Here is a 27,519-nt window from a genome sequence, read left to right on the forward strand (position 1 = left end):
GCACAATCTCAGCTCACCGCAACCTCCACCTCCTGGGTTCAAGTGATTTTCCTGTCTCAGCCTCCCGAGTAGCTGGGATTACAGGTGCCTGACACCACACCTGGCTAATTTTTATATTTTTAGTAGAGACAGGGTCTCACCGTGTTGACCAGGCTGGTCTCAAACTCCTGACCTCAAGTGATCCACCCACCTCGGCCTCCCAAAGTGCTGGGATTATAGGTGTGAGCCACAGTGTCAGACCTTGTTTCCTTAATACTGCTTGAAACAACACTTAGCCTTAAAACAATTGATTTTCGGCCGGGCGTGGTGGCTCACGCCTGTAATCCTAGCACTTCGGGAGGCCGAGGCGGGTGGATCACGAGGTCAGGAGATCGAGACCATCCTGGCTAACACGGTGAAACCCCGTCTCTACTAAAAATACAAAAAATAAGCCGGGCGTGATGGCGGGTGCCTGTAGTCCCAGCTACTCGGGAGGCTGAGGCAGGAGAATGGCGTGAACCCGGGAGGTGGAGCTTGCAGTGAGCCAAGATCGTGCCACTGCTCTCCAGCCTGGGCTACAGAGCCAGACTCCATCTCAAAAAAAAAAAAAAAAAATTGATTTTCAGGCTGGATGTGGTGACTCGTGCCTGTAATCCCAGCACTTTGAGAGGCCCAAGCAGGAGACTCACTTGAGAGCCTAGGAGTTCAAGACCAGCCTGGGCAACATAGTGAGACCCCACTGCTACATAAAATACAAAAATTAGCCAAGCATGGTGGCACGTGCCTGTAGTTCCAGCTACTCGGGAGACTGAGGTGGGAGGATCCCTTGAGGATCCCTTGATGCTGGGAGGCAGAGGCTGCAGTGAGCCAAGACATGCCACTGCACTCCAGCCTTGGTGACGGGGTCAGACCCTGTCTCCAAAAAAAAATAGACTATTCTTCACACTGGGAAAGAGGCCTGGCAGGAAGTAGTTTTCCCAAAGTTGTGTGTTTGATCAGCTTTTCTCCCATGTTCTTCAAAAAGCTGAGCACCGCCTTCTATAAGGAATGCTAGGAAGCTGTGCTGGCAGTAGCTCTAAAACATGAAATGATGCTACATTATGCCTTGCCTTTGAGATGTGGTCTTCCAGAGTCTATTTCATGGATTTCATGCATGTGATTTTATTCTTCACATGGAAGACAGTCAAAGAGTTTAATTTGAGCATGCCTATTCCTGACACCAGAAATTTCATTTTTGCCATGCCTAATGACTTCCATTTTTGCTTCAGTTCTGTTATTTCTGGTATCATCGTTTACATTTTTCTATTCTCTACTCATTTTATCATTTGTATGAAAAAGCAAATGACTATATAAATACTGCTGTTTGGATGAAGGTGCCAGCATGCCTGCCCTTGTGAACTGTTGCAAATGTTATAAATCATCAATTAGTAAGAAAAATTGGGAGGTTGCACAAGGGGAGTTGGGGAAATGACTTCCCTGTTCTTAGCATTGTTGGCTGACAGGAGAAGTATGAACCTAAGAAGGTATGCAGCCTCTTGATGTTTTTCACATTTTTTAAAATTACTAAACTCTTTTTATTTTATTTATTTTGAGATGGAGTCTGTCTCTGTCACCCACACCAGAGTGCAGTGGCTCAATCTCATCTCACTGCAACCTCTGCCTCCTGGGTTCAAGCGATTCTCCTGCGTCAACCCCCCCACCGAGTAGCTGGGATTACAGGCACCTGCCACCATGTCCTTCTAATTTTTGTATTTTTAGTAGAGCTGGGGTTTCACCATGTTGGCCAGGCTGGTCTCAAACTCCTGACCTCAGGTGACCCACCCACCTCGACCTCCCAAAGTGCTGAGATTACAGGTGTGAGCCACCACGCCCAGCCTAAAATTACTAAACTCTTGAAGAAAAACCTGGAGTTAAGCCATACCTTCCAATCGTTTTTTAGTTTCTTTTTTTTTATACTTAATCTTAGTCTTTTTTTTTTTTTTTTTTTTTTAAAGACAGTCTGTCTTGCTCTGTCACCCAGGCTGGAGTGCAGTAGTGTGTTCTCGCCTCATTGCAATTTCCACTTCCCGGGTTCAAGCGATTCTCCTGCCTCATCCTCCCCAAGCTGGGATTACAGGCGCCTGCCACCACGCCTGGCTAATTTTTTTGTATTTTTAGTAGAGACGCGGTTTTGCCATGTTGGCCAGGCTGTTCTCAAACTCTTCTCTTGACCTCAGATGATCCACCCGCCTTGGCCTCCCAAAGTGGTGGGATTATAGGCATGAGCCACCACGCCTGGCAAGTATTTTCTATTTAGAAAAACATGGTAATGCCACATATCTAAAACTGGAACAAAAATAACAGATCAGTGGAAGAGAATGGAAACAAGTAATCCCAGACATAAATACAAATATAATATTGCGGAAGCCAACATTTCAAATTGGTCGGGGGCAAGTACTATTTAGTCAGTGGTGCTGGGAAATCAGTTTCCAAATGGGACAACTATTGGGAAAATAGTCTCACTCAACATGAAACTGAGAGAATAAATGTTTAAAACTTCAAAAGAACTAAATACAGGTGTATATTATTTAGCCTTCAGTATGGAGGAGGACATCCAAGCATGAAGGTATAAACCACTTACATTTTAAAAACAATTAATAGCTTGGCCACATAAGAGTGAAATGGGCCAGGGCGCGGTGGCTCATGTCTGTAATCCCAGCACTTTGGGAGGCTGAGGCAGGTGGATCACCTGAGGTCAGGAGTTTGAGACCAGCCTGGCCAACATGGTGAAACCCCATCTCTACTAAAAATACAAAAATTAACTGGGTGTAGTGGCAGGCGCCTGTAATCCCAGCTACTCAGGCGGCTGAGGCAGGAGAATCACTTGAACCCAGGAGGCAGAGGTTGCAGTGAGCTGAGATCAGGCCACTGCACTCCAGCCTGGGTGACAGAGCAAGACTCCGTCCCAAAAAAAAAAAAAAAGAACAGTGAAGTGTACTCAAAACCTGTAAACAAAATTTAAAAACTGGTAAAGAACTGGGAAAATATGTTTTGTACATATGATATATAAACTTCAAATGATGGGGGATGGAGCCGAAGTGTTTTGTTTGTTTGTTTTGTTTTGTTTTTGAGATGGAGTTTTGCTTTTGTTGCCCAGGCTGGAGTGCAACGGCAGGATCTCGGCTCACCGCAACCTCCACCCCCTGGGTTCAAGCGATTCTCCTGCCTCAGCCTCCCAAGTAGCTGGGATTACAGTCATGCCCCACCACACCTGGCTAATTTTGTTTTTTGTTTTTTTGGTTTTTTTTAGTAGAGACAGGGTTTCTCCATGTCAGTCAGGCTAGTCCCGAAATCCTGACCTCAGGTGATCCGCCTGCCTCGGCCTCCCAAGTGCTGGGATTACAGGCGTGAGCCACCGCGCCTGGCTGGAGCCGAAGTTTTTAAATAGTGGGGTGTAAATCAGAAATTTTTAGAAAAGTACAGGTGATCAACAACAAAAAGCAAATGATTCAAAGCAATTTGAGTAGTCAGGAGATAAATTCGTGTTAAAACAGTATTCCTTTTCTTACCTAGCATATTGGCAAAGATAAAGAAAAATAGCAAATTTTTAACAGAGATTCAAGAAAGATTGGCTTTTTTTTTTTTTTTTTTTTTTTCTGGAGATGGAGTCTCGCTCTGTTGCCAGACTGGAGTGCAGTGGTGTGATCTCGGCTAACTGCAACCTCTGCCTCCCGGATTCAAGCGATTCTCCTGCCTCAGCCTCCCGAGTGGCTGGGACTACAAGTGCACGAGATTGGCACTTTTTAATTCGCTGTTGATGGAAATGTATAAGTTAAAAAAAAACCTTCCTCTGCAATTTTTGTTTTGTTTTGTTTTGTTTTTGAGACAGAGTCTTGCTCTGTCATCCAGGCTGGAGTGCAGCGGCACGATCTCAGCTCACTGCAACCTAAACCTCCAGAGTTCAAGCGATTTTCCTGCCTCCGCCTCCTGAGTAGCTGAGATTACTGGCAACCGCCACCACAACCAGCTAGTTTTTTGTATTTTTAGTTGAGACAGGGTTTCGTCAGGTTGGCCAGGCTGGTGTCAAACTCCTGACCTCAAGTGATCCACCTGTCTCGGCCTCCTAATGTGCTGGACTTAACAGGCATGAGCCACCGTGCCCAGCCCCTCTGGAGTATCTTGATAGTATGTGGGTTTTTTGTTTTTCTTTTTTTTTTTTTTTTAACCGAGTTTCGCTCTTGTTGCCCAGGCTGGAGTGCAGTGGCGCAGTCTCGGCTCAGTGCAACCTCCGCCTCCTGGGTTCAAGTGATTGTCCTGTATTTTTAGTAGAGACGGGGTTTCACCATGTTTTCCAGGCTGGTCTCGAACTCCTGACCTCAGGTGATCCGCCCGCCTAGGCCTCCCAAAGTGCTGGGATTACAGGCGTAAGCCATCGCATCCGGCCCTTCTTTTTTCTTTTTAAGCATTAAAAATGTGCATACTCGGGCATGCGCAGTTTCTGTGGGAAAACATGTTCCTTAACTAAAAGGCAGCACATTTGCAACAAATAATTTTTCCCTCAAACAAGGACACTTGGGATAGGAAGAAGGGCAGAGCTGAGGACAGGTCTGATCCTGTTCAACTTTACTAAGAACCTGTTTTCTGCACTTCTACTTCCACAGCTCAGACAAGAACAGAACCTCTTCTGCTTGGGGGTGGGGCAGGGCTGTCTTGTGCGGAATGGCCTCATTCCTGGATTAGGAAGTGTTCCTAAGTAGTGAGGTGTCTCAGATGTTTATAAAGTGACCACTTGTGTAGTGCTCAGGGCATTGTTGCTTCTGTAAAGTGCGTATCATTTGATCTCATGCTGTAAATGATTCTGTCTTCAGGGCGCAAACCAGAAGAAGAGGGTGTGGAAGATAACGGGCTGGAGGAAAACTCTGGGGATGGACAGGTATGTGCAGCCTTGCGAGTGAGTAGCGTGGTGGATGGACCAGTGGCGGTCACATGATGGTTCGGTCTGGTTGTGTCACAGGAGGATGTTGAGACCAGTCTGGAGAACTTGCAGGACATCGACATCATGGATATCAGTGTGTTGGATGAAGCAGAAATTGATAATGGAAGCGTTGCAGATTGTGTCGAAGACGATGATGCTGATAACCTCCAGGAGTCCCTGTCGGATAGTAGAGAGCTAGTCGAGGGGGAAATGAAAGAGCTTCCGGAGCAGCTTCAGGAACATGCTGTAGGTAACCGGCAATGTCTCTAGAATGTGCCCTGAATGTATCAGTTCCACAATTAAAATAGGTGATCAGTTTCATATTGGGAAGTAAGTTGTTCTGTAATGCCAGTTCAGTAGAATAAGGGTCAGTTGGTTCAGATGATTCTGAACCAATTTGTTTTGTTGAAAGGTGATGTCTTATAACATTTCATATGTACTTGCTATCCATTTGCGGCATACAGTATGAGACATTTTGAGGACAACCATTCAGACTCTTCCTGTTGCCGGACTTGATCTGTGGTGTTATGGCCTAGGTACCTTGAAAGCATTGAACTAGGAAGAGGTTAGAAGTTGGTGTTTTCCTGTTAAGAAGCAATTGTTGAGCTGGGTGCCTTGATGCACTCATGTAATCCGGTAACTCAGAAAGCTGAGGTGGAAGGAGCAGCCCAGGAGTTCAAGGCTGTACTAAGCTATGATTGTGCAATTGAAGTCCAGCCTGGGTGGCAGAGTCTGACAGAACCCTATCTCTTGTTTAAAACAAACAAACAAAAAAAAAAACACAGCCAGTTGATACCTATCTTAAGAGTTAACCTCAAGTATTAACCTGGATGTTGTTTTTAAACCTAAATTTTTTTCCTGTTAGAAACATATCAAATGGATAGTAAGATTATAGTGGGTAGTATTTCCTGAATACTACCTACCAGGCATTGGCATTATGCCCTTCCTTTCTTTTTTTTTTTTTTTTTTTTTTTTTTCTGAGACAGAGTTTTGCTGTTGTTGCCCAGGCTGGAGTGCAGTGGCGCGATCTCAGCTCACTGCAACCTCTGCCCCCTGGGTTCAAGTGATCTCCTCCCTCAGCCTCCCAAGTGAGTAGCTGGGATTATAGGCGCCCACCACCAAGCCCGACTAATTTTCTTGTATCTTTAGTAGAGACGGTTTTCACCATGTTGGCCAGGCTGGTTTTGAACTCTTGACCTCAGGTGATCCGCCTGCCTCAGACTCCCAAAGTGCTGAGATTACAGGTGTGAGCCACCGCGCCCAGCATGTGCCCTTTAATTCTTCTAATAGCAACATGAGGTGCTGTTGTCCCCATTTTCAGTTGAGGAAATTGGGAAGGCAAGAACTAAAAAACATCTCCAGATGACACACAGCTCATAACAGAATAAGAACTAAGATCAGGCTAATTCCAGAGGCCATGTACTTAACTTATGTACGATGTTGTCTTGGTGCCATTAATTTGATATTAATTTCATTTACCTGATGATTAATGTTTGTCAGACAGAAAAAGTGATGCATATGAGAAGCTGTGGGGCCCTTTCTGTGTTGGCTCGTGGGGGGCCCTGTTCTTGTCCTGGTCCTTAGGTCTTCCGCAGTGAGTGCTTCTCAAGCAGTCTTGGTGGACAGAAACCTTGTTGTATGCCAGTCAATCCGCTTCTGCATTTCTTCAGAATATTTTTGCATTTCCTCTTGGAACTGATTCCAAGTATCCTTAGAGGTAGCAGATTGTCATATTTGAATGGAGGATTTGAGTCTGAGAAGTGGCTGAGAGTTATTCTGATACAAATAGGGTGTGCAATTTTTGGTGAGTCCCATTCATCAGCTTCTAAAAAGGAGTAGCAGAAACACTTGCACAGCAGCAGGAGTTACTTACCCTTCCTGAATGGCTGCATCTTCTTAAGGCTGTTTTTTTCCCTCCTAAGCAGAAAATCATACATTCTGCAACAAAAGCTGGAAACATCCTAAATGCCTGGAAGCAGTTTAGTTTTAAGGGTTGAGGCCAGGTGCGGTGGCTTGGCTGGGCACAGTGGCTCACACCTGTAATCCCAGCTACTCAGGAGGCTGAGGCAGGAGAATCACTTGGACCAGGGAGGTGGAGGTTGCAGTGAGCCAGGATTGTGCCACTGCACTCCAGCCTGGGCGGCAGAGTGAGACTCTCAAAAAAAAAAAAAAAGAGTTCAGAGGTAGATTCTGGAGATGGATCAATTTCTGTGTGTCCCTGGACAAACTCCTTAACCTCTGCTCCTCACTTGCAAGAGGTTTTCGGAAGATTCAATGGATGGATGTTTATTATACACTTAAAGCAGAAGTCATCAAGTTGGCTGTCACCTGGGTTGTTTTTGTTTTGTTTTGTTTTTGTTTTGGGGTTTTTTTGTTTTTGCTTTGTTTTGCTTTTTTTCAAGACAGGGTCTCATGGTGTAAATGAAGTTTTCTGAGAGCACAACCACACCTATTGATACTGTTGTCTATGGCTGCTTTTGTGCTTTAGTGTCAGAGAGGAGTCCTGACTCATCTGTTCTACAATTCCTGAAGAATTTACTAGGCAGCTCCAACAAAGTGTTTCCCAGCCTAGTTCAATGCCTAGCATCTAGAAAGCACCGTAGAGTTATGAAATGTACCACCACGAATACAGTTTTTACTGCAGTGTAACCATCAAAATGAATTAAGCACATCTGTGTGAACTCAAACAATCTCCAAAAGAGAAGTGACACTTGGGGAGGGTTCAGAATGATGTGCTGCCCCTGGTGCAGATGTCTAAGGGGAGATGGTCTTTGGCACTTAAACACGTGTGTAGCATATGCGATGACCACTGCATGGCAGGAAGAAAGGAGTAGTGGAGAGTGGTTTTCAGTGAATGGGCTTTTGTACCTTTTGAGTCTTCTGATCGTGTGCGTGTCTTTCCTAGTGAAATATAGTGATAAAAATACATGCTGGTTATAAAATATCTGAAAACGTCTCCCCCTAAGTATATCTCAAATTTCAGGGCTTTAGAGCAGATGGCCAAAATTGGTTTCAGTCACAAATTATCTGAACCCCCTTTCTTTGTTTGGGGAATCCTTTGCCTTATTGGGCAGAGCCTACTTCTTAGAATAAAAGCTATTCTTCCCCTGCAAGTAGGGCATAGGATATTGCCAGTCTCGAGCTCCTGTCCTCACCCTCATGCTGGGAGATGCTGTTCCATTGAGGGAGGTACCTACCCCAGGGGCAGCAGGTCCCACATCCTCAGCATCCAGGCTGGGCGAGCAGCGGTGGCTGAAGGCTCCACTTCAGCAGGACTCTAGCCATTGCTCCTGGAAGAACAGCCCTCACCCTGTGCTCAGATCCACTTAGAGGCTGTGCACTCATTTTCATCTCTTTTCTGTTTGACTTAGACTTTTTTTCTTTCTTTTGCATCTTAAAACCTACATAGCTACCATATTAGTAGATTTCCTAGTCTATGTGCAGGTGGACATTTACATACAACTTTTTTTTCAGTTTAGCTGCAATTATACTATAATAGTGTTTTGATTTCTGCCCTGGGTTTAAAATTTTGTTGTGAATTATTTTCATAGCTGTTCACTTTTCATTGTACAGATGTACCATTATGTTACGTTATTGTTGGTGTGATGAACTGTATTTTCTCCATTTATTTTACAGATAGAGGACAAAGAAACTATAAACAATTTAGATACTTCATCATCTGACTTCACTATATTACAGGTAAACTGTTGTATGTCTCAGTACTTTTAGAATGAAAGGTCAGACCACAATTTCTGGAATCCATTTCAGACACCATATGCCAGTTCCAGCTAATAATCACCACAAGGGTTGTTTCCTTTGTCAGGATCGTTAATGGGTGTTTGCTTTCTGCTTTCCTCCAAATATAATGTACGCATTGCCAGGGACTTAACTCTAGGCTTCGACGAGTGGCCTCCAAGCGCTGTGGCTTACCAGCAGTCATTAGAGTCATGTTTTGTGGCATTCTTAATTTCATTGCTTGTGGCAGGGGAAGGCAGCCTGTCTCATCTACCCTGGGTGGCATCCCCTGCAGAAAGATGATTTGATGAGACAGCAAGAGGGCATGGCTACCTGGGAAAGATGAGTAGGGCCCAGATGGGGATTGAGGGTTGACAGAGCCCTGTTGGGGAAGGTGGGGTCTCAGGGGTTCTGGTCTTGTCTTTGGGAAGTTTTTTTTGTTTTGTTTTGTTTTGTTTTTGTTTTGTTTTTTCTGAAATTGCCCAGATTTCATTTAATGACTGTATCATCCTACCTGTTTCATTGGCATCTCTGTAAATATTAAATCTTAGATGAGAACAGATGAGTTGAGAATTTCCAGGTATGATTTTTATATTTGTGGGTCTTGAGTTTCCTTTTTTTTTCCAGCCTACATAGATACAAATTGTTAGAACACACTTACCTAGGTAGCTGGCTAATTCTTAGGAGAACTTTTTGTGGAGAAATGAAGATCGAGCCAGCTTTTGCCCAGCCTTTTTATTTATTTATTTTTTTTCCCGTCTTCTTTTTAAATGTCATCTATGTTATTGTAATTAGAAATCCCCTTTTGGAAAAGATCTCCATTTGCTTCTGCCATGCAAGGGCAAGGGAGATACTGGAAAGCCAGAGCTCCAACCTTGAGGAGGGCACAAATCTCAAGAAAACGTGGTGAAACCCAGTTCGCTTTTAGAGCTGCCGTCTCTCCACCTGCAAATTGACACGGCCATTCCCGACTCAGAAAGGAGAGGAGGAGCCGGATCTTGTCACTTTCCCCTGGCTCTTTCTTGGTCACAGTCTCCCATGTTAAAATGGGAAACCTACAGTCTCTCCTAAACAAATAGGAATGTATTTGCTTCTCTTTAGAGAAAATGAGGAAGAATTATTCTGCCAACATTGATGATTTGCTTCAGTCCTATGGTCAGAATTCCCAGCATGGGGTAGGGTACATGGGGAAAAAACTGATTAAAAATAAGTGAAAGCATGAGGAAAGTGTACAGTTTCATAGAGCATCCTGGAATGGCAGGGCAGTTCCCAGGGGAAGTTATAATTCAGTCACACCTACTTATTGGGTATATGTGAATCCCCTGTGATGTGTCAGGTGTGGCATTAACTACCAGCATTACATAGATGAATGAGAAGGAAGGGTGGTCCCCATGCTCGTGGGGCCTGGCCTGATGGTTAACAGTGCAGACTCACACTCATACACGGCCTTTGCTCAGAGCCTGTCTCTGCTTCCCACCTGCTGTGTGTCCTTGGGCAAGTTACTCAGTCTGTCTGGTCACAGTCTGTTACTCTGTAAAAAGAAGGGTGCTACCATTAGGACCAACCTCCTGCAACCGATGACGAGTCTGTGTGTATGTAAGGTGCTTACATTTGTGCCTGGAACCTAGTCAGTGCCCATCAGTTGACTGGAATTCCAGAGGAGTGTACCTTGTGTGCACAGGAAACATAAAGGCTGGGGGATCACATCATGTGGAAAAAGCTCCTTTGCTTAGTGGGGCACAGCTGGAGTTGGGTTAGAGGGAAATAGGGAAAGCCTTCCTGAAAGGAGATGCCACTGAGCTGGATACTGAGGGATGTGGATGACTTGGCTGGACGGGGCAGGGGAGGGCTGGGCCTGTCAGGGAGGGAGGTGGCATAGGGATCCATTGGCTGAAGGCTGAAGGCCACAGAGGGACATGAGCTTACTGTGGACACAAGGTGCAGAGAGATGGGATGGGGATAATACAACCAGATGCCACAGTAGGCAAGGATGGCACCAGCCTGAGTGGACAGGGCTTCCTGGGAAGAGTCTGAATGACTTCTAGAACTGGCCTGGTGGGAACACTGATTGGAAGAGGAGATGAAGGAGGGAGGGTATTTACAAAGTTTTTCATGCTGGCACCACCATGCCAAGTAAGAGCAGGAGTCATACCACCTGGGCCCATATTCCCTCAGTCTTTCGAATATCAGAAAGTTGTCGTAGCTTCATTGAGTGAAAAAGTGACTGTTAATGTGCCATGCATTCCTCTAGATGCTAACAGTAGAAAAATGAAAACACTGCTCTCCTTGAATTTGAGAGTTCAATCTAGAGGGTCAGGCGTGCTTATGATGAGTGCCTCACCATGAAGTGAGACCAGTTCCAGGCTCCTGCAGGGGAGACTGAATGGAGGGTGGGCTGAGTGAAGTGGATGCCAGTCTTATGGAGCCATTCCTAGAACAAGCAGGTTCTCCACCTCTTGAGTTTGTGAGTTTCCCTCCCTGGATTTTTAAAATTCCCTCTTTAGTTATTCTGGGTTTTCATTTAAATAAACTGTAGGTGTCATTCATCTGGCACAGTCTTATTTACGTTTTTTCTTGCAGGAAATTGAAGAGCCATCCCTGGAGCCAGGTACTGTTAAATGAAAAACTTACCAGCGGGGGTTTGGAACCATTCTAGTTTTCCACCTTCTCTAATTTGAATTCTTTGATTTTTAAAAGTTACCTTACTATAGTATACATTGTTCTAAAGGTTTACAATCCAAAACCTACCAGGATCATAGAGATTGGAAACCCAGCCATATCACCAGATCTGTGAAAGTGGCTCACTTCTCATTTTACAAAATGTATTGGTGAGATGAAAGTATCTCATGCCTTTTTGAATATCAACAGCATTGAATCATACATAGAGAAAGAGTTCCAGATGCCTCTCTTGAGAGCTAATACCTCTGCACCCACAAAACAGATCTTGTGATATTGGGCAGTAGCTTAATTTTGTTGTTTTTAATTGAGGCAGCTCAGGTAGTGGTAGGGAGATACATTTTAAAACATAAATTTGAGACATAACTGGATTCCAGAAGAGGAAAGAGTGTCTTCATGAGAATTCCAAACACTGTTCACTTTCTGGACTGCAAATATCTCAGAGCACGGATGGAAGAGATTCTGGTTTTCATGTTGGACTGTTCTGTTAAAAGAAATTCAAAGAAATTTGGAAATTGAGCTGTTCAGTGAATGGTGATACATTCAGTTAAGCAACTTGGACTTTGGAAGCTAAATTTGGAAGAGTCATATCTAAACGACGACAGAATGAAGACTGTCAAGAATCAGCCAGAAGGTTTTGGGGGTTAAATCTCTGGGATGCTTTTCTCTTCCGTGTAGCGTAGAGGCTTACCTAGAGGCGGTCGCGGCGCAGGTAGTGTAACCAGTATAACTTTGTGTACCCGCGGGTTTTCCAATCTCTGTGTAGCTAGCAGTTCTCTTCGTGTTAGTGTGGCAGCCGTGCCAGTTCCACATTTGTGATTGCTTTATTTCCCTGGTAATTAAACCTTGTGCCATTCTATTCCTGTTAAATCCGTAGAAAATGAGAAAATACTCGACATTTTGGGGGAAACTTGTAAATCTGAGCCAGTAAAAGAAGAAAGTTCCGAGCTGGAGCAGCCATTTGCACAGGACACAAGTAGCGTGGGGCCAGACAGAAAGCTTGCGGAGGAAGAGGACCTATTTGACAGCGCCCATCCGGAAGAGGGTGATTTAGATTTGGCCAGCGAGTCAACAGCACACGCTCAGTCGAGCAAGGCAGACAGCCTGTTAGCGGTAGTGAAAAGGGAGCCCGCGGAGCAGCCAGGCGATGGCGAGAGGACGGACTGTGAGCCTGTAGGGCTAGAGCCGGCAGTTGAGCAGAGTAGTGCGGCCTCCGAGCTCGCGGAGGCCTCTAGCGAGGAGCTCGCAGAAGCACCCACGGAAGCCCCAAGCCCAGAAGCCAGAGATAGCAAAGAAGACGGGAGGAAGTTTGATTTTGACGCTTGTAATGAAGTCCCTCCGGCTCCTAAAGAGTCCTCAACCAGTGAGGGCGCTGATCAGAAAATGAGGTTTGTTTTTTCTCAGTTTTAGACCAGACGCTATCTCCTTTTCATTGGTCATGTAATGACACACATAAGCTGTTTTTTTCTGCAATTGGCCAGCCAGACTGACGAAATTGTAGTTTTGCTTCTAAAGAATGTTTCGTTTCTCTTTGTGTGTTTTTAATGGGTGATTCAATTCCTTTTCTTTTTCTCAACCTACCATGGTTGTGTTCTTAAATTCTTCCTAATTACCTTTAGCCCAGCAGAATTAATTAACTCCTGTGGGTCTGAAATCTTATGGTTAGGTCAGATTTTCAATACAAGTTTGTCGGGGTATCATTTTTTCAGAACTAAATTTCGGGTAGGTATGCAACCTCAGCACGAATTTTATGGTTTTGAGTTTGTTTCCTCCATGCTGCTTCCTTGTGGAGTGACATTGTCTTTTGTCTCTAGTTCTCCCGAAGATGACTCGGATACAAAAAGGCTTTCCAAAGAGGAAAAGGGTAGGTCACCTCGGCGACACCAGTCCCTTGGAGCATGTATGGCCTGGGCAGTGGCGGGTATTTGATTCTGGTTCATCGCGTGCTATGCTCCTTACCCAGGAGACTCCTGAGACGTTTGTGCAGTCTTTCTCCTTCTCTGCTGTTACCGCTACAGGTTCTGGGTTGTAGGAAGCATACCAGGTCCTAAGAGTTAACAGGCTGATTTGGTGCAGATCCTTGTGTTGGGAGCACATTCATCCTGTAACCCTTCATTAAATGCATTAACTGAGAAATAATTTTACCCTACCAAATTCCTTCTTAATCAGTGTTCTAAAGGAGTAAAAACATGGGATAGATACAGAGCTATACGTGGAAAGAGAAACAGTGCATTGTTGACACCAAGGTTGACTGTTCTGCTACATGGCCGTTGCACACTGCACTTCCTCCTGTAATTAAGCGATCGCTAACTTTTTTTGAGACAGAGTCTTGTTCTGTTGCCCAGGCTGGAGTGCAGTGGCGCGATCTCAGCTCACTGCAACCTCTGACTCCCGGGTTCTAGAGATTCTCCTGCCTCAGCCTCCTGAGTAGCTGGGATTATAAGCGCCCGCCACCACACCCAGCTGATTTTTTGTATTTTTAGTAGACATGGGGTTTCACCATGTTGGCCAGGCTGGTCTCGAACTCTTGACCTCGTGATTCGCCCACCTCAGCCTCCCAAAGTGCTGGGATTACAGGCGTGAGCCACCACACCCGGCCCGCAATTGCTAACTTTCTTAGGAAACCTCACATTGTCCCAATAGCCCCACTCAGTATTGTGACGGGCCCTGTGGTAGTGCTGCTGGGCCTGGTGTTGCACTGGAGGCTCTTGGTGAGGATAGTGGTCAGGCCCACAGCCCCATTTGGCTTTTAGTGCTGCCACTGCCTCAGGAAAAATGGGAACCATGTCTCTTTTGGAAAGGTTGTCTCTAAGACTCAAGATCTTGTGGGTATTTGGGTTTTTACTAGAATTTTCTTTTGAAATAGGTCGCAGCAGTTGTGGTAGAAATTTCTGGGTTAGTGGACTCTCTTCTACAACCAGAGCTACAGATTTGAAGAATCTTTTCAGCAAATATGGGAAGGTAAGTGCCAGAGCTTTTCTGGAGAAGATACTTTGAAACCAGCGTTGTGTGGCCTTTACATGGAGGTCCTCTCCCCTCAGTGAGTTCTTTGAGAGATACCAAGGAGCTTACACTTGCTAATGGCTGGGGAGGGTCTGCCCGTCCACAGGTAGAGGTGAGAGTGGTGTGGAAGCTTCCAGAGCCCACATCACCACTGTATTTCCCTCCCTTCTCTGCGAGCTTGCCCCCTTCCCTGTGATGGCTCGTGGATCCATTTCTGTGTCCTCAGGACGTCGCACTCAGGCTGGGCTGCCAGGGTTGGCTGGTGGGGTGCTGGTCAGCATGTCTGGGAGACAGCAGTGTTCTTAGAACAGTGTTCGTGATGCTGGAACTCAGAACTCAGAACAGGGACCCTGGAGTCTGATGATAGGGGTCCTCACCACGGGTGTCTTGGGTCCATTGACTGAACCTCACCTCAGCAGCTGGGGGCTCTCAAAGTTGCTGCCTCAGTTCACCACTGGGGGCAGTTCTAGTGGCCTCTTGTCTGCAGCACCTGCCTTTCCTGAGCCCGTGAAGGTGGGGCTGGTGGCACCAGCCCCCTACCTGCAGTGCCCAGCGCAGCCGCCTGGCCCTCCTCCCTGTGCTTTCTCACTCCCTTCCTCCCTGGTGTTTCCCAGACTTGCCTCCCAAACAGCCTCCTGCATTCAGGGCTCCTCGTCTCTCTCAGAGTCGGTTTCGGGGACTACCAAAGGAAGGAGTCCAATCCTTTGTGTTACACAGTGAGGGTTCAACACATTGCAATATAGAAAACCAAGTGTTTTCCCTGATACTGACTTCGAAGAACTTAAAAGAGGATAAAACAGGCTGGGTGTGGTGGCTCACGCCTGTAATTCCAGCACTTTGGGAGGCCGAGGTGGGTGGATCACGAGGTCAGGAGTTTGAGACCAGCTTGGCCAGTATGGTGAAGCCTGTCTCTGCTAAAAGTACAGAAATTAGCCGGGCGTGGTGGCGCATGCCTGTAATCCCAGGTACTTGGGACGCTAAGGCAGGATAACAACTTGAACCCAGGAGGTGGAGGTTGCAGTGACCCGAGACCGTGCCACTGCACTCCAGCCTGGGACAGAGCAAGACTCCATCTTAAAAAAAGAAAAAAAAAAAGGATAAAACTAATTATGTCATTATTACGGACATAACTAAGGGCTTCTTGAGCCTCAGTGATACAAGGTGTGTGGCTGGCAACACCTGCGCCAAGTCTCCCCTACTAGACCCCCTTTCCTGACTCCATGGCGTCCCCCAGCGGGTGGGTGTGCTCAGTGGGGAAGTGTTGCCCTGGAGACTGTAGTGTCTTGAGCGCAGCAGGCCTGATGTGGGTTAATTAGAGGACCGGGCCTCTCTGAGAATGTCCTCTGGGACTAGGATTCCATGTGGCATGATGAGCATGATTACCAGCCTCGGCCACTGGCTGCTGCAGGGCTTTTCCTGAGCCATGGTGTCTTCTGCCGTCAAAGGGCGACCCTAACTGCATCCTGCTGGAGTCGAGAAAACCAGGTAGACTGGAAAGGATGTGTCTACAGTAACTGAAACACATCACTGCGTTTTGTTACAGTCAATGATAGGGCAGATCTGAGTTCCAGAGCACGGCTCACAGACCTTTCCTTGCATCAGTCTGTGCCGAAGTCTTTTTTTTTTCTTTTTTCTTTTTTTGCCCACATTACATCACTTCATAATTTACCACCTACGTAGCATGACTGTATATTTGGAATCATTTCTTCACAAGTTTTAGACCATATTAAAGGAACACTGGCAGAACCCTGTTTGATTTCCCTTTCGTCTGTTCCCCTACATTGCCCTCCTGGCCCCCTTGAGGAACTAGATGAGCGATTAGAACTGGCCAGAGGTCCTTGGAGGAACAACAGCGAAACAGAAGCATTAGTAGCATTGTCCTCCCCAGTCTAACACTTGTCGGACCCCTGATGAGCAGACTTCCCTGTGGGGTGTTCATATCCCCATGCCCCGCTCAGTGGGCTTCATGTCTGAGTCATATTTGCCTGCTTTCCTTTGAGGTGGTGGGCGCCAAGGTTGTGACAAATGCCCGGAGTCCTGGAGCTCGCTGTTACGGTTTTGTCACGATGTCCACAGCAGAAGAGGCCACAAAATGCATTAACCACCTGCACAAGACGGAGCTCCACGGAAAGATGATCTCCGTGGAGAAAGTGAGTGGCCGTTTTCTTCCCAGGATATAGCCCACATTAGGAAATGGGGGTAATACTTGATTCTCTTTTTCAGGCCAAAAATGAACCTGTGGGAAAGAAAACCTCTGACAAAAGAGACAGTGACGGGAAAAAGGAGAAGTCGAGCAACAGTGACAGGTACCCCTCCTTCCTGGCTAAATTAAAGGGGCAGGGTGTTTTTTGTTGTTGTTGTTTTGTTTTTGAGATGGAGTCGCGCTCTGTCGCCCAGACTGGAGTGCAGTGGTGTGATCTCGGCTCACCTCAACTCCACCTCCTGGGTTCAAGCAATTCTCCTGCCTCAGCCTCCTGAGTATCTGGGACTAAGGTGTGCACCACCACACCCGGCTAATTTTTGTATTTTCAGTAGAGATGGGGTTTCACCATATTGGCCAGGCTGGTCTTGAACTCCTGACCTTGTGATCCGCCTGCCTCGGCCTCCCAAAGTGCTCGGATTACAGGCGTGAGCCACCATGCCTGGCCGGGGCAGGGTGTTTTAAACAGAATCTCACTCTGTTGCCCAGGCTGGTGTGCAGTGGCAAGATCTCTTTTCATTGAACCTCCACCTCCCTGGCTCAACCAATTCTCATGCCTCAGCCTCCCGATTTGCTTGGATTATAGCCATGCCCATTTGTGGTTTTAGTAGAGATGGGGTTTCACCATGTTGGCCAGGCTGGTCTCGAACTCCCGGTCTCATGTGATCCGCCCGCCTCATCCCCCCAAAGTGCTGGGAATACAGGCATGAGCCACCACGCCCAGCCAACATGTCTGTTTTTTATAGATCTACAAACCTTAAGAGGGATGATAAATGTGACAGAAAAGATGATGCTAAGAAGGGTGACGACGGAAGTGGAGAAAAGAGTAAGGACCAAGATGATCAGAAACCTGGCCCCTCAGAGCGATCTCGAGCCACAAAGTCAGGTGGGCAGCTCATGAGCCCAGGAGATTCTGTCTTGTTTCTGTGCCTAGTGGAGTTTGTTAGTTTGCTGTGATTAGCTGGCAACGGAAACTGGATTCATGTTGCAGAGGGTTTTTCTCATCTGGGTATTCTTGGTTTTCCACTTACACTTTCCCCGTCTTTTCTGTAGGAAGTCGAGGGACCGAACGGACTGTAGTAATGGATAAATCCAAAGGGGTGCCTGTGATTAGTGTAAAAACGTCCGGGTCCAAAGAGAGAGTGAGTATTAATTTTCTAACTAGGGTATTTTGCTCTTCTTTTCAGTTTGTATTTCTGTGTGCGTCTTAGGGAATTACTAAGCTTCATTTGAAAAAAGCTTTTGTCGGCCGTTTCGAAAATGTAGAAATCTCAAACTATTTTTTTTGAGACAGGTTCTCACTCTGTTGCCCAGACTAGAGTGCAGTGGTGCGATCTTGGCTCACTCCAACCTCCGCCTCCCAGGCTCAAGCGATTCTCCTGCCTCAGCCTCCCGAGTAGCTGGGATTACAGGCGCACACCATTATCTTTTTAGTAGAAACAAGGTTTCACCATGTTGGCCAGGCTGGCCTCGAACTCCTCACCTCAGGTGATCCGCCCGCCTCGGCCTCCCAAAAGTGCTGGGATTACAGGCATGAGCCACTGCGCCCAGCCTCAAATTATTTTAAGAAATGCAGAAAGCTTTCCTTTATCCTTACTTTTGCTCTGATAACTGTTAACTTATTTTCTAAAGCTAACTTTAAAATTTACATATGGGACTGTTGGCTTTTCCCTGAGTCGGTGTGTGGCAGTCCACGTTCCCTGTCTACCCTGAAAGTGTCAGCACCTCCCCGTGATGCATTCCTACACCCAGCAGTGTGGAGCATGCCATGGTGACCTGGCCCATCTCGCCAGCCTCCCTCTAGCCTGCTCTCCACCTTGACCCCTTCCTGTACTCTTATCTTCTTGCTGGGCTGCAGTGTGAGCTGAGCATGGTGGCTCATGCCTGTAATCCCAGCAGTTTGGTATGCTGAGCTGGGAGGATACTTGAGCCCAGGAGATGGATACCACCTTGGGCAACATAGTAAGACCCCATCTTCACAAGAAATTTAAAAATTAGGCAGGCTCGGTGGTATGCATCTGTGGTCCCAGCTACTCAAAAGGCTGAGGTGGGAGAATGCCACTTAAACCTGGGAGGTCAAGACTGTAGTGAGCCACGTTCATTGCACTGCACTCTAGCCTGGGAGAGAGAGTGAGACCCCATCTCAAAAAAAAAAAAAAAAAAAAACACACACCTATTATTTGCATGGTCTGTGCACACCGAGCCACCCTTACTGGTTAACTGTCAACTGGGGACACTCTGAGAGCCAACTTCCCAGTTGCCAGCCAAGGACCAATCTTGGCAGCAGCCCCTCCTTAAGGAAGGAGAGGGACCTTGGACCCGCCTGGTCAACCCTCAGCTGCACGGAGGAGGAACCATTTCACTTGGTGAATGGAGCGGATTGCTTAGGAGCTTTCAGTCTCTGTGTGCCAGTATTATAATATGTCATAGCCTTTTACCCTTGTTCTATAAAACACCTTTGGAAAACGGAAAAAGGAAAGTGTGGGTTCTAGGGATAAAATGAGAAGGTCTCTTAACAATGTCATTGGCACAAATAAGGTACTTGTCAAGTGTACCGGAAGTGCTTCATTTGGGAACTCATTGTGTGTTTAATTATTGAAGGAAAAAGGAAAATTAAGAAATTTATTTTTGAAGCAAAAGACATAAAAAATTGGTGTTTTGATCTTATATGAAGTTTTCGGGGGCAATACTCATTTCCATTTTTTCTCTATTAAATGTACTGTTAGATCATATTTTAGCATTAAATGTTGATGAAATTCTGTGTCTTTCAATTATGATAAGCAAAATGTAAGGCTTGTTTGGATTAAACAGCTCATCTGTTTTTCACTAAAAGTTATTCATCACATAGGACCTCCACATCTGATGGTTAGGCATGGATATATATACCTGATTCTTCCTGTTCCCCTATCACACCTACTTTTAACTTTTTTCATTTTTTTATTTTATTATTTATTTTTTATTTGTTATTATTATTTTTTAGACAGTCTGACTCTGTGGCCCAGGCTGGAATACAGTGGCACAATCTCAGCTCACTGCAACCTCCACCTCCCGGGGGTTTTTAAGTGATTCTCCTGCCTCACCCTCTTGAGTAGCTGGGATTACAGGCACCTGCCACTATGCCCGGCTAATTTTTGTACTTCTAGTAGAGACAGGATTTCTCCATGTTGGTCAGGCTGGTCTCAAACTCCTGACTTCAAGTGATCCACCCGTCCCGGCCTCCCAAAGTGGTAGGATTATAGGCGTGAGCCACTGCGCCAGCAATTTTTTTTTTTTTTTTTTTTTGTCAGAGTATCGCTCTGTCGCCCACACTGGAGTGTAGTGGCGCGTCCTCGGTTCACTGCAACTACTGCCTCCCAGGTTCAAGGGATCCTCCCACCTCATCCTCCAAAGTAACTGAGATTACAAGCATGCGCCACCATGCCCAGCTAATTTTTATTTTTTATTTATTTATTTATTTTTATTTATTTATTTTTTGAGACGGAGTCTCAGTCAGTCACTCAGGCTGGAGTCGAGTGGCTCGATCTTGGCTCACTGCAAGCTCTGCCTCCCGGGTTCACGCCATTCTCCTGCTTCAGCCTCCCAAGTAGCTGGGACTACAAGCTCCCACCACTATGCCCGGCTAATTTTTTTGTATTTTTAGTAGAGACGGGGTTTCACCGTGTTAGCCAAGATGGTCTCAATCTCCTGACCTCGTGATCTGTCCGTCTCAGCCTCCCAAAGTGTTGGGATTACAGGTGTGAGCCACTGCGCCCGGCAATTTTTATATTTTTAGTAGAGTCAAGGTTTCACCATGTTGGCCAGGCTGGTCTCAAATTCCCAATCTCAAGTGATCCACCCGCCCTGAACTTTGAAAGTGCTTGGATTACAGGCATAAGCCTCCGTGCCTGGCCTCTGCTTTAACTTTTTAATGTTCTTTGGTGAACTAGGCTTCCAAAAGCCAGGATCGCAAATCAGCCAGCAGAGAGAAGCGGTCCGTCGTGTCCTTTGATAAGGTCAAGGAGCCTCGGAAGTCAAGAGACTCAGAGTCCCATAGGTGAGTAGGGATCCAGGAACGGTTTGGTGTTTTTCCTAGAATGTGGTCATGACTGTCTTCTGGAAGGATGTTTGCAGAGTTCCCTGGGGTGGGATAGAGCTGTGAACCTTTTTGCTCCTTCAGCTTTCAGTTCATAGACTTGTTATGTTTTAACTTTCATCCTACGGCTCTTTTCTTTTCTTTTCTTTTTTCTTTTTGGAGACAGAGTCTTGCTGTGTCGCGCCCAGGCTGGAGAGTGCAGTGGCGTGACCTCGGCTCACTGCAACCTCCGCCTCCAAGCAATTCTCCAGCCTCAGCCTCCTGAGTAGCTGGGACTATAGGCGTGCGCCACCACACCTGGCTAATTTTTGTATTTTTAGTAGAGACGGGGTTTCACCATGTTGGCTAGGCTGGTCTGAAACTCCTGACCTCAGGTGATCCACCTGCCTTGGCCTCCCAAAGTGCCAGGATTACAGACGTGAGCCACTGCACCCGGCCTACTTACAGCTCTTTTCAAATAAGTCTCTTCCCAAAGATTGTAGAAGGTAACAAAGGCAGGGAGATGGAATGCCTTCCAGCGTCAGTAGTGCTCGTCAACAAAAAATACCAAATTTGCTCCAGAAGATGTGAAAGCAGGAAGAGAGACAGTGAGGTAGACCCAGCGAGGGCACTGAGAGGGCTTCCTTTTTTTTTGAGATGGAGTCTGTGTCGCCCAGGGTGGAGTGCAGTGGCATGATCTCAGCTCACCGCAGCCTCCACCTCCCCTGTTCAAGCAGTTCTCCTGCCTCAGCCTCCCAAGTAGCTGGGACTACAGGCGCAAGCCACCACACCCGGCTCATTTTTGTATTTTTAGTAGAGATGGGGTTTGGCCATGTTGGCCAGGCTGGTTTCAAACTCCTGACCTCAAGTGATCTGCCTGCCTCGGCCTCCCAAAGTGCAGGGATTACAGGCATGAGCCACTGCTCCAAGGACTGACAGGGCCTCATTCTTAAATAAGTCAAGAAGTAAACACAAACGTTATTGGCGAATTACAGCTAATTTATTTTTTCTATGAAATACTTCGTTAACTTTAGTTTTAAAAGTAAGGACCCCCCTGGGCGCAGTGTCTCACATCTCAGCACTTCGGGAGGCCGAGGCTGGTGGATCACCTGAGGTCAGGAGTTCGAGACCAGCCTGACCAACATAGTGAAACGCAGTCTCTACTAAAAATACAAAATTAGCTGGGCATGTAGGCCAGGCGCGGTGGCTCAAGCCTGTAATCCCAGCACTGTGGGAGGCCGACCGAGGCTGGCGGATCACGAGGTCAGGAGATCGAGACCATCCTGGCTAACACGGTGAAACCCTGTCTCTACTAAAAATACAAAAAATGAACTGGGCGTGGTGGCGGGCGCCTGTAGTCCCAGCTACTCGGTAGGCTGAGGCAGGAGAATGGCGTGAACCCGGGAGGCAGAGCTTGTGGTGAGCCAAGATCGCGCCACTGCACTCCAGCCTGGGCGACAGAGCAAGACTCCATCTCAAAAAAAAAGGGGGGGTCGGGGGGCCGGGCGCGGTGGCTCACGCCTGTAATCCCAGCACTTTGGGAGGCCGAGGTGGGCGGATCACAAGGTCAGGAGTTCAAGACCAGCCTGGCCAACGTGGTGAAACCCCATCTCTACTAAAAATACAAAAATTAGCCAGGTATGGTGGTGCGTGCCTGTAATCCCAGCTACTTGGGCTGAGGCAGGAGAATCACTTGAACCCAGGAGGTGGAGGTTGCAGTGAGCCGAGATTGCGCCACTGCACTCCAACCTGGGTGACAGAGCGAGACTCCGTCTCAAAAAAAAAAAAAATCAGCTGGGCGTGGTAGTGCATGTCTGTAATCCCATATACTTGGGAGGCTGAGGCGGGAGAATCGTTTGAACCCAGGGGGTGGAGGTTGCAGTGAGCCAAGATTCCACCATTGCACTCCAGCCTGGGCAACAAGAGCAAAACGCTGTCTCAAATAAGAAATAAGGACAATTAGTTTAAAAGGAGGGGGAGAGGGCACTGCTCTGCCTATAAAGTTATCACCCTTTTATTCCCTTTTTTTTTTCCGAGACGGAATCTTGCTCTGTCTCCCAGGCTGGAGTACAGTGGCACGATCTCAGCTCACTGCAAGCTCCGTCCCCTGGGTTCACACCATTCTCCTGCCTCAGCCTCCCTAGTAACTGGGACTACAGGCGCCTGCCATCATGCCCAGCTAATTTTTTGTATTTTTAGTAGAGACGGGGTTTCACCGTGTTAGCCAGGATGGTCTCGATCTCCTGACCTCGTGATCCACCCGCATCGGCCTCCCAAAGTGCTGGAATTACAGGCGTGAGCCACTGCGCCCAGCCTATTCCTTTAAAAAGAAAAAAAAAAAAAACAAAGTCTCCCATAGTCCTGTGAGTGCAGGCATTGGCAGGTGGCATTTCTGCTGGGGGAGTAATGAACACGGGCAGCCTGGGGGGCCCCCACAGGAGCCTGCCGTGCTAAACACTAGAGTGTTCCAGACCCTAGGCCCCTCTCCATATCTGGCGTAGAGGAACCTATGAACAAGGAAGTGTGGGCTTGGGTATCCCGTCAGGTTGTGAGCATTTGGACACAACTGAAAAGTTCCCATAAACCGCAGCCCTTTCATACTAGGGGCTCCTCCGGAAGGTGCTGAGATCCACAGAGGCAGGTGTGGGCGGATCCAAGACATGTTGGGTGAACTAAGGAGGTTGCAGTCATTTGAGTCCAGAACACTATGAGGCAAGATTATACATTTCTGCTGGGACAGAAACACACAGTTGTCCCAGAAACGACTGGCCTCAGTACCCTTGTGGATACCAAAATTTGCAGAGGATCAAGTTTCTGATATAAAACTGTGTGGTATTTCTGCATATAACCCATGTACATCCTCCTGTACACTTTAAATCACTTCTAGATAACTTCTAATACAATGAAAATGCTGTGTCAGTAGTTGGTATACTGCACTGAGGTGCTTTTTTTTTTTAAGTAGCTCCCTGCACACACCTTTTTTTTTTTTTTTTTTTTTTTTTTTGGAGACAGGGTCTCACTCTTTCACCCAGGCTGGAGTTAAGTGGTGCAATCATAGTTCACTGCAGCCTCTACCTCCTGGTTTCAAGTGATTGATCCTCCCACCTCTGCCTCCCAAGTAGCTACCACGCCTGGCTAATATTATTTTTTCTGGAGACGGGGTCTCACTATATTGTCCAGGCTGTATATCTATAACTGTGTAGGTAAAGGATCGAAAGAAGAAAATCTGAGCCTGGGCACAGTGGTTCATGCCTATAATCCCAGCACTTTGGGAGGTGGAGGCGGGCAGATTGTTTTGAGCTCAGGAGTTCGAGAACAGCCTGGGCAACCATCTCTACCAAAAAAAAAAAAAAAAAAAAAAAAGACAGCCTGGCTCCTGTCTGTTCTGTTTTATATACAAAGACTGGAGAAATGCACTAAAATGTCATCTGTATCCAAAAGATACAGCTGCTAATGTCCTTACACTTGGGGGGCCTGCTAGCCCCACCTCACAAAGACTCATTTCATCCTGTGGTCTAGGGAGTGAAGGTTCCAATTCACACTCACTCGCTATGAAGCATATACTCTGTGGCTTTTTTTTTTTTTTTTTTTTTTTTTTCTGTTGCCGGGCTGGAGTGCAGTGGCTCACTGCAACCTCTGCCTCACGGGCTCCAGTGATTTTCCTGCCTCAGCCTCCGGAGTAGCTGGGACTACAGGTGCGTGCGTGCCACCATGCCCAGCTAATTTTTGTATTTTTAGTAGAGACAAGAGTTTCACCATGTTGGCCAGGCTGGTCTCGATCTCTTGACCTCATGATCCACCCACCTCAGCCTCCCAAAGTGCTGGCATTACAGATGTGAGCCACCGCGCCCGGCCTGTTGCTTATTTTTGACTGGCTGTTTCCTGAAATCACTTGTCAAGCTCCAGGAAATGTTGGAGAAAGGAGGCCCAGTTCTGATCACACACACACAGCCTGGGCCTCACTCCTGAGATCTTCCTGGGCTGCTCCTGTGGGCCCGAGAAGCCTTCTTCCCGCTGGAGTGTACGGTTCTGCAGACCACGTAGTGGACGCACAGCCCTGGAGTCTGTGCGACCCAGCGTCTTACTTAAAGTCAGCCCTGGGACCTGGCTGGGGGTGTCTAGGTCCCCTTCTGCAGCTCTACTGTTGTGCAGCAGGGTGCGTGAACGCAGTGAACGCGAACAACGCATGCAGGCGCAGTGGGAGCGCGAGGAGCGTGAGCGGCTGGAGATTGCCCGAGAGAGGCTGGCCTTCCAGCGCCAGCGGCTGGAGCGGGAGCGCATGGAGCGGGAACGGCTGGAGCGCGAACGCATGCACGTGGAGCACGAGCGCAGGCGCGAGCAGGAGCGCATCCACCGTGAGCGCGAGGAGCTGAGGCGCCAGCAGGAACTGCGCTATGAGCAGGAGCGGCGGCCCGCGGTGCGGCGGCCCTACGACCTGGACCGGTAAGCAGATCCATGCTGCCCTTAGCACGTGGCGTTCAGAATCGTGTTAGGGACCTCACAGTCCAGTTAGCTTGAGATTTTTTTTTTTTTTTTTGAGACGGAGTCTTGCTTTGTCGCGGAGGCTGGAGTGCAGTGACCCGATCTTGGCTCACTGCAAGCTCTGCCTCCCGGGTTCACACCATTCTCCTGCCTCAGCCTCCCGAGTAGCTGGGACTACAGGCGTTTGCCACCTCTCCCGGCTAATTTTTTTGTATTTTCAGTAGAGACGGGGTTTCACTGTGTTAGCCAGGATGGTCTCTATCTCCTGACCTCGTGATCCACCTGCCTCGGCCTCCCAAAATGCTGGGATTACAGCTGTGAGCCACCGCGACCGGCCAGCTTGAGATCTTTCATTCAAAGGAAGCATAGGCCGGGTGCGCTAGTTCACGCCTGTAATCCTAACATTTTGGGAGGCCAGGGTGGGCGGATTGCCTTAGCTCAGGAGTTGAAGACCAGCCTGGCCAACATGGCAGAACCCCGTCTCTACTAAAATACAAAAAATTGGTCGTGGTGACAGGCGCCTGTAATCCCAGCTACTGGGGAGGTTGAGGCAGGAAAATCGCGTGTACCCAGGAGGCAGAGGTTGCAGTGAGCCAAGATCGTGCCACTGCACTCCAGCCTGGGCAATAGAGTGAGACTCGGTCTCAAAAAAAAAAAATTAGAGACAGGAGGCTGGATAAAGTAGTGCTGGTTAACTAACCAGGTTCAAGGGTGGCACAGACCTCCTGAGGAGGGAAGCTCAGGCACGTAGAGAGCGCCACACGTGCCCTACTGCACCTCCTTTAAGGCCCTTTCCTTTTTTTTTTTTTTTGAGATAGAGTCTCGCTCTGTTGCCCAGGCTGGAGTGCAATGGCGCGATCGCTGCTCACTGCAACCTCCACCTCCTGGGTTCAAGCGATTCTCCTGCCTCAGCCTCCCTAGTATTCGAGATTACAGGCACCCACCACCACACCCGGCTAATTTTTGTTTTTTTTAGTAGAGATGGGGTTTTGCCATGTTGGTCAGGCTGATCTCAAACTCCTGACCTCAGGTGATCCACCCACCTCAGACTCCCAAAGTGCTGGGATTACAGGCGTAAGCCACCACCCCCGGCCTTGTCCTGGCTTTTTAAATCCATTGTAATTTGTTTTTGCTTATTCTAGAAATAAAGAATTAAAAAAAAATTTTTTTTTGAGACGGAGTTTTGCTTTCGTTGCCCAGGCTGGAGTGCAATGGCGTGATCTCAGCTCACTGCAGCTTCCGCCTCCTGGGTTCAAGCAATTCTCCTGCTTCACTCTCCCAAGTAGCTAGGATTATAGGCATGTGCTACCACACCCGGCTAATTTTTTGCATTTTTAGTAGATACCGGGTTTCACCATGTTGGCCAGGCTGTCAAACTCCTGACCTCAGGTGATCCACCCACCTTGGCCTCCCAAAGTGCTGGGATTACAGGCATGAGCCACTACGCCCGGCAGTAAGATTAATTTTAATTTCTCAAACATACTGAAGAGGAGGTATGAACACAAAATGCTGAGCATGGCTGCTGTGAGGAGTCAGGTGTGTAATTCCAGCAGTGATTGTGTCAGGCTTTACACGTGCACTGCAACCTGGCAAAAATTGCTGTTTGTTGTTTCTTTCTATTGCATGGGTTGAAGAGGAGCCCAGGTCATATATACAATGCAACTTCTATAAAGGGCCTTGTAAACTGTTCTAGGATCTATTATGCTTTGGTACGAAATCCTTCTGATGACAGTTCATTATGGTCATCTGTGTATTGCAGCAGTACATGGCCAGGGCTGCTGGCAGGGCAGGAGGTCAGCTTTGGGGCGAGAGAGATGGCAGGTGCACTTGACAGAGCCCCTCGGGGTGGAGGCTCACGTGGTCTTCCTGAGCGGAGGTGGCTGTGTAGGGCTCCAGAAGCCATCTGCAGGCAGCCCATAGGACTGACTGCTTAACTAATGGCTCCCTCTTTGGAAAACCGAGGCCGCTTTTCATCAGGGGAGGTGGGTGCATGGGACAAAACAAAACAACTGTGCAGTCACTGGGGTCAAATCAGACCTTGCCTCCTATAGGAGAGAACACTCTTGGTGAAAGTCATCCTGGTTCTGTGAAGTGCTAGGGGCCAGCTCCCACAAAGGTGATAGATACATTTGGGGTGGGGGATCCCTCTATCTCTGTCTCATGTCCCCTCACAGGCGAGATGATGCCTATTGGCCGGAAGCCAAGCGGGCCGCCCTGGATGAGCGCTACCATTCTGACTTTAACCGCCAGGACCGCTTCCACGACTTTGACCACAGGGACCGCGGCCGCTACCCCGACCACTCGGTGGACAGGTCAGTTGGGCCCCTGCTGGGCGTGCGGGTTTTCTTTTTCCTGGCTCATTCTGACTGAGAACAAGGACTCCTGGGCTCTCTGAACCCACTCCGTTCATCAGATGTATGCTGAGTCAGACCCGCAGGT

General features: G+C 47.6%; 1 protein-coding gene across 7 annotated transcripts in view, besides 1 other annotated feature; it reads left to right on the forward strand.

The window, feature by feature from the left end:
• Nucleotides 1-27,519, forward strand: part of SAFB (scaffold attachment factor B) — a 45,396-nt gene that overhangs the window by 13,685 nt on the left and 4,192 nt on the right. For 2 of the 7 annotated variants that reach the window (NM_001201338.2, NM_002967.4), the window contains exons 3-16: nucleotides 4,827-4,891; nucleotides 4,973-5,179; nucleotides 8,570-8,632; nucleotides 11,249-11,276; nucleotides 12,222-12,732; nucleotides 13,159-13,208; nucleotides 14,211-14,305; nucleotides 16,348-16,497; nucleotides 16,571-16,653; nucleotides 17,294-17,433; nucleotides 17,601-17,689; nucleotides 20,474-20,580; nucleotides 24,751-25,041; nucleotides 27,255-27,392. In NM_001201338.2, coding sequence (NP_001188267.1) covers nucleotides 4,827-4,891; nucleotides 4,973-5,179; nucleotides 8,570-8,632; nucleotides 11,249-11,276; nucleotides 12,222-12,732; nucleotides 13,159-13,208; nucleotides 14,211-14,305; nucleotides 16,348-16,497; nucleotides 16,571-16,653; nucleotides 17,294-17,433; nucleotides 17,601-17,689; nucleotides 20,474-20,580; nucleotides 24,751-25,041; nucleotides 27,255-27,392 — 2,017 coding nt within the window. The remainder of the gene's footprint in view (nucleotides 1-4,826; nucleotides 4,892-4,972; nucleotides 5,180-8,569; nucleotides 8,633-11,248; nucleotides 11,277-12,221; nucleotides 12,733-13,158; nucleotides 13,209-14,210; nucleotides 14,306-16,347; nucleotides 16,498-16,570; nucleotides 16,654-17,293; nucleotides 17,434-17,600; nucleotides 17,690-20,473; nucleotides 20,581-24,750; nucleotides 25,042-27,254; nucleotides 27,393-27,519) is intronic. The other 5 variants (NM_001201339.2, NM_001320572.2, NM_001201340.2 and 2 more) reach the window with 4 other exon arrangements.
• Nucleotides 11,707-12,906: an enhancer, noted in NCBI's record as "BRD4-independent group 4 enhancer chr19:5648485-5649684 (GRCh37/hg19 assembly coordinates)". NCBI's record gives its function as "activates an origin of replication core promoter dependent on BRD2, P300/CBP, MED14 and CDK7 cofactors, and independent of BRD4, by STARR-seq in HCT116 cells {active_cell/tissue: HCT116}" and the evidence as "EXISTENCE:reporter gene assay evidence [ECO:0000049][PMID:35650434]".

The sequence above is a fragment of the Homo sapiens genome, chromosome 19 (assembly GCF_000001405.40).
Source record: "Homo sapiens chromosome 19, GRCh38.p14 Primary Assembly".
Lineage (NCBI taxonomy): Eukaryota > Metazoa > Chordata > Mammalia > Primates > Hominidae > Homo > Homo sapiens.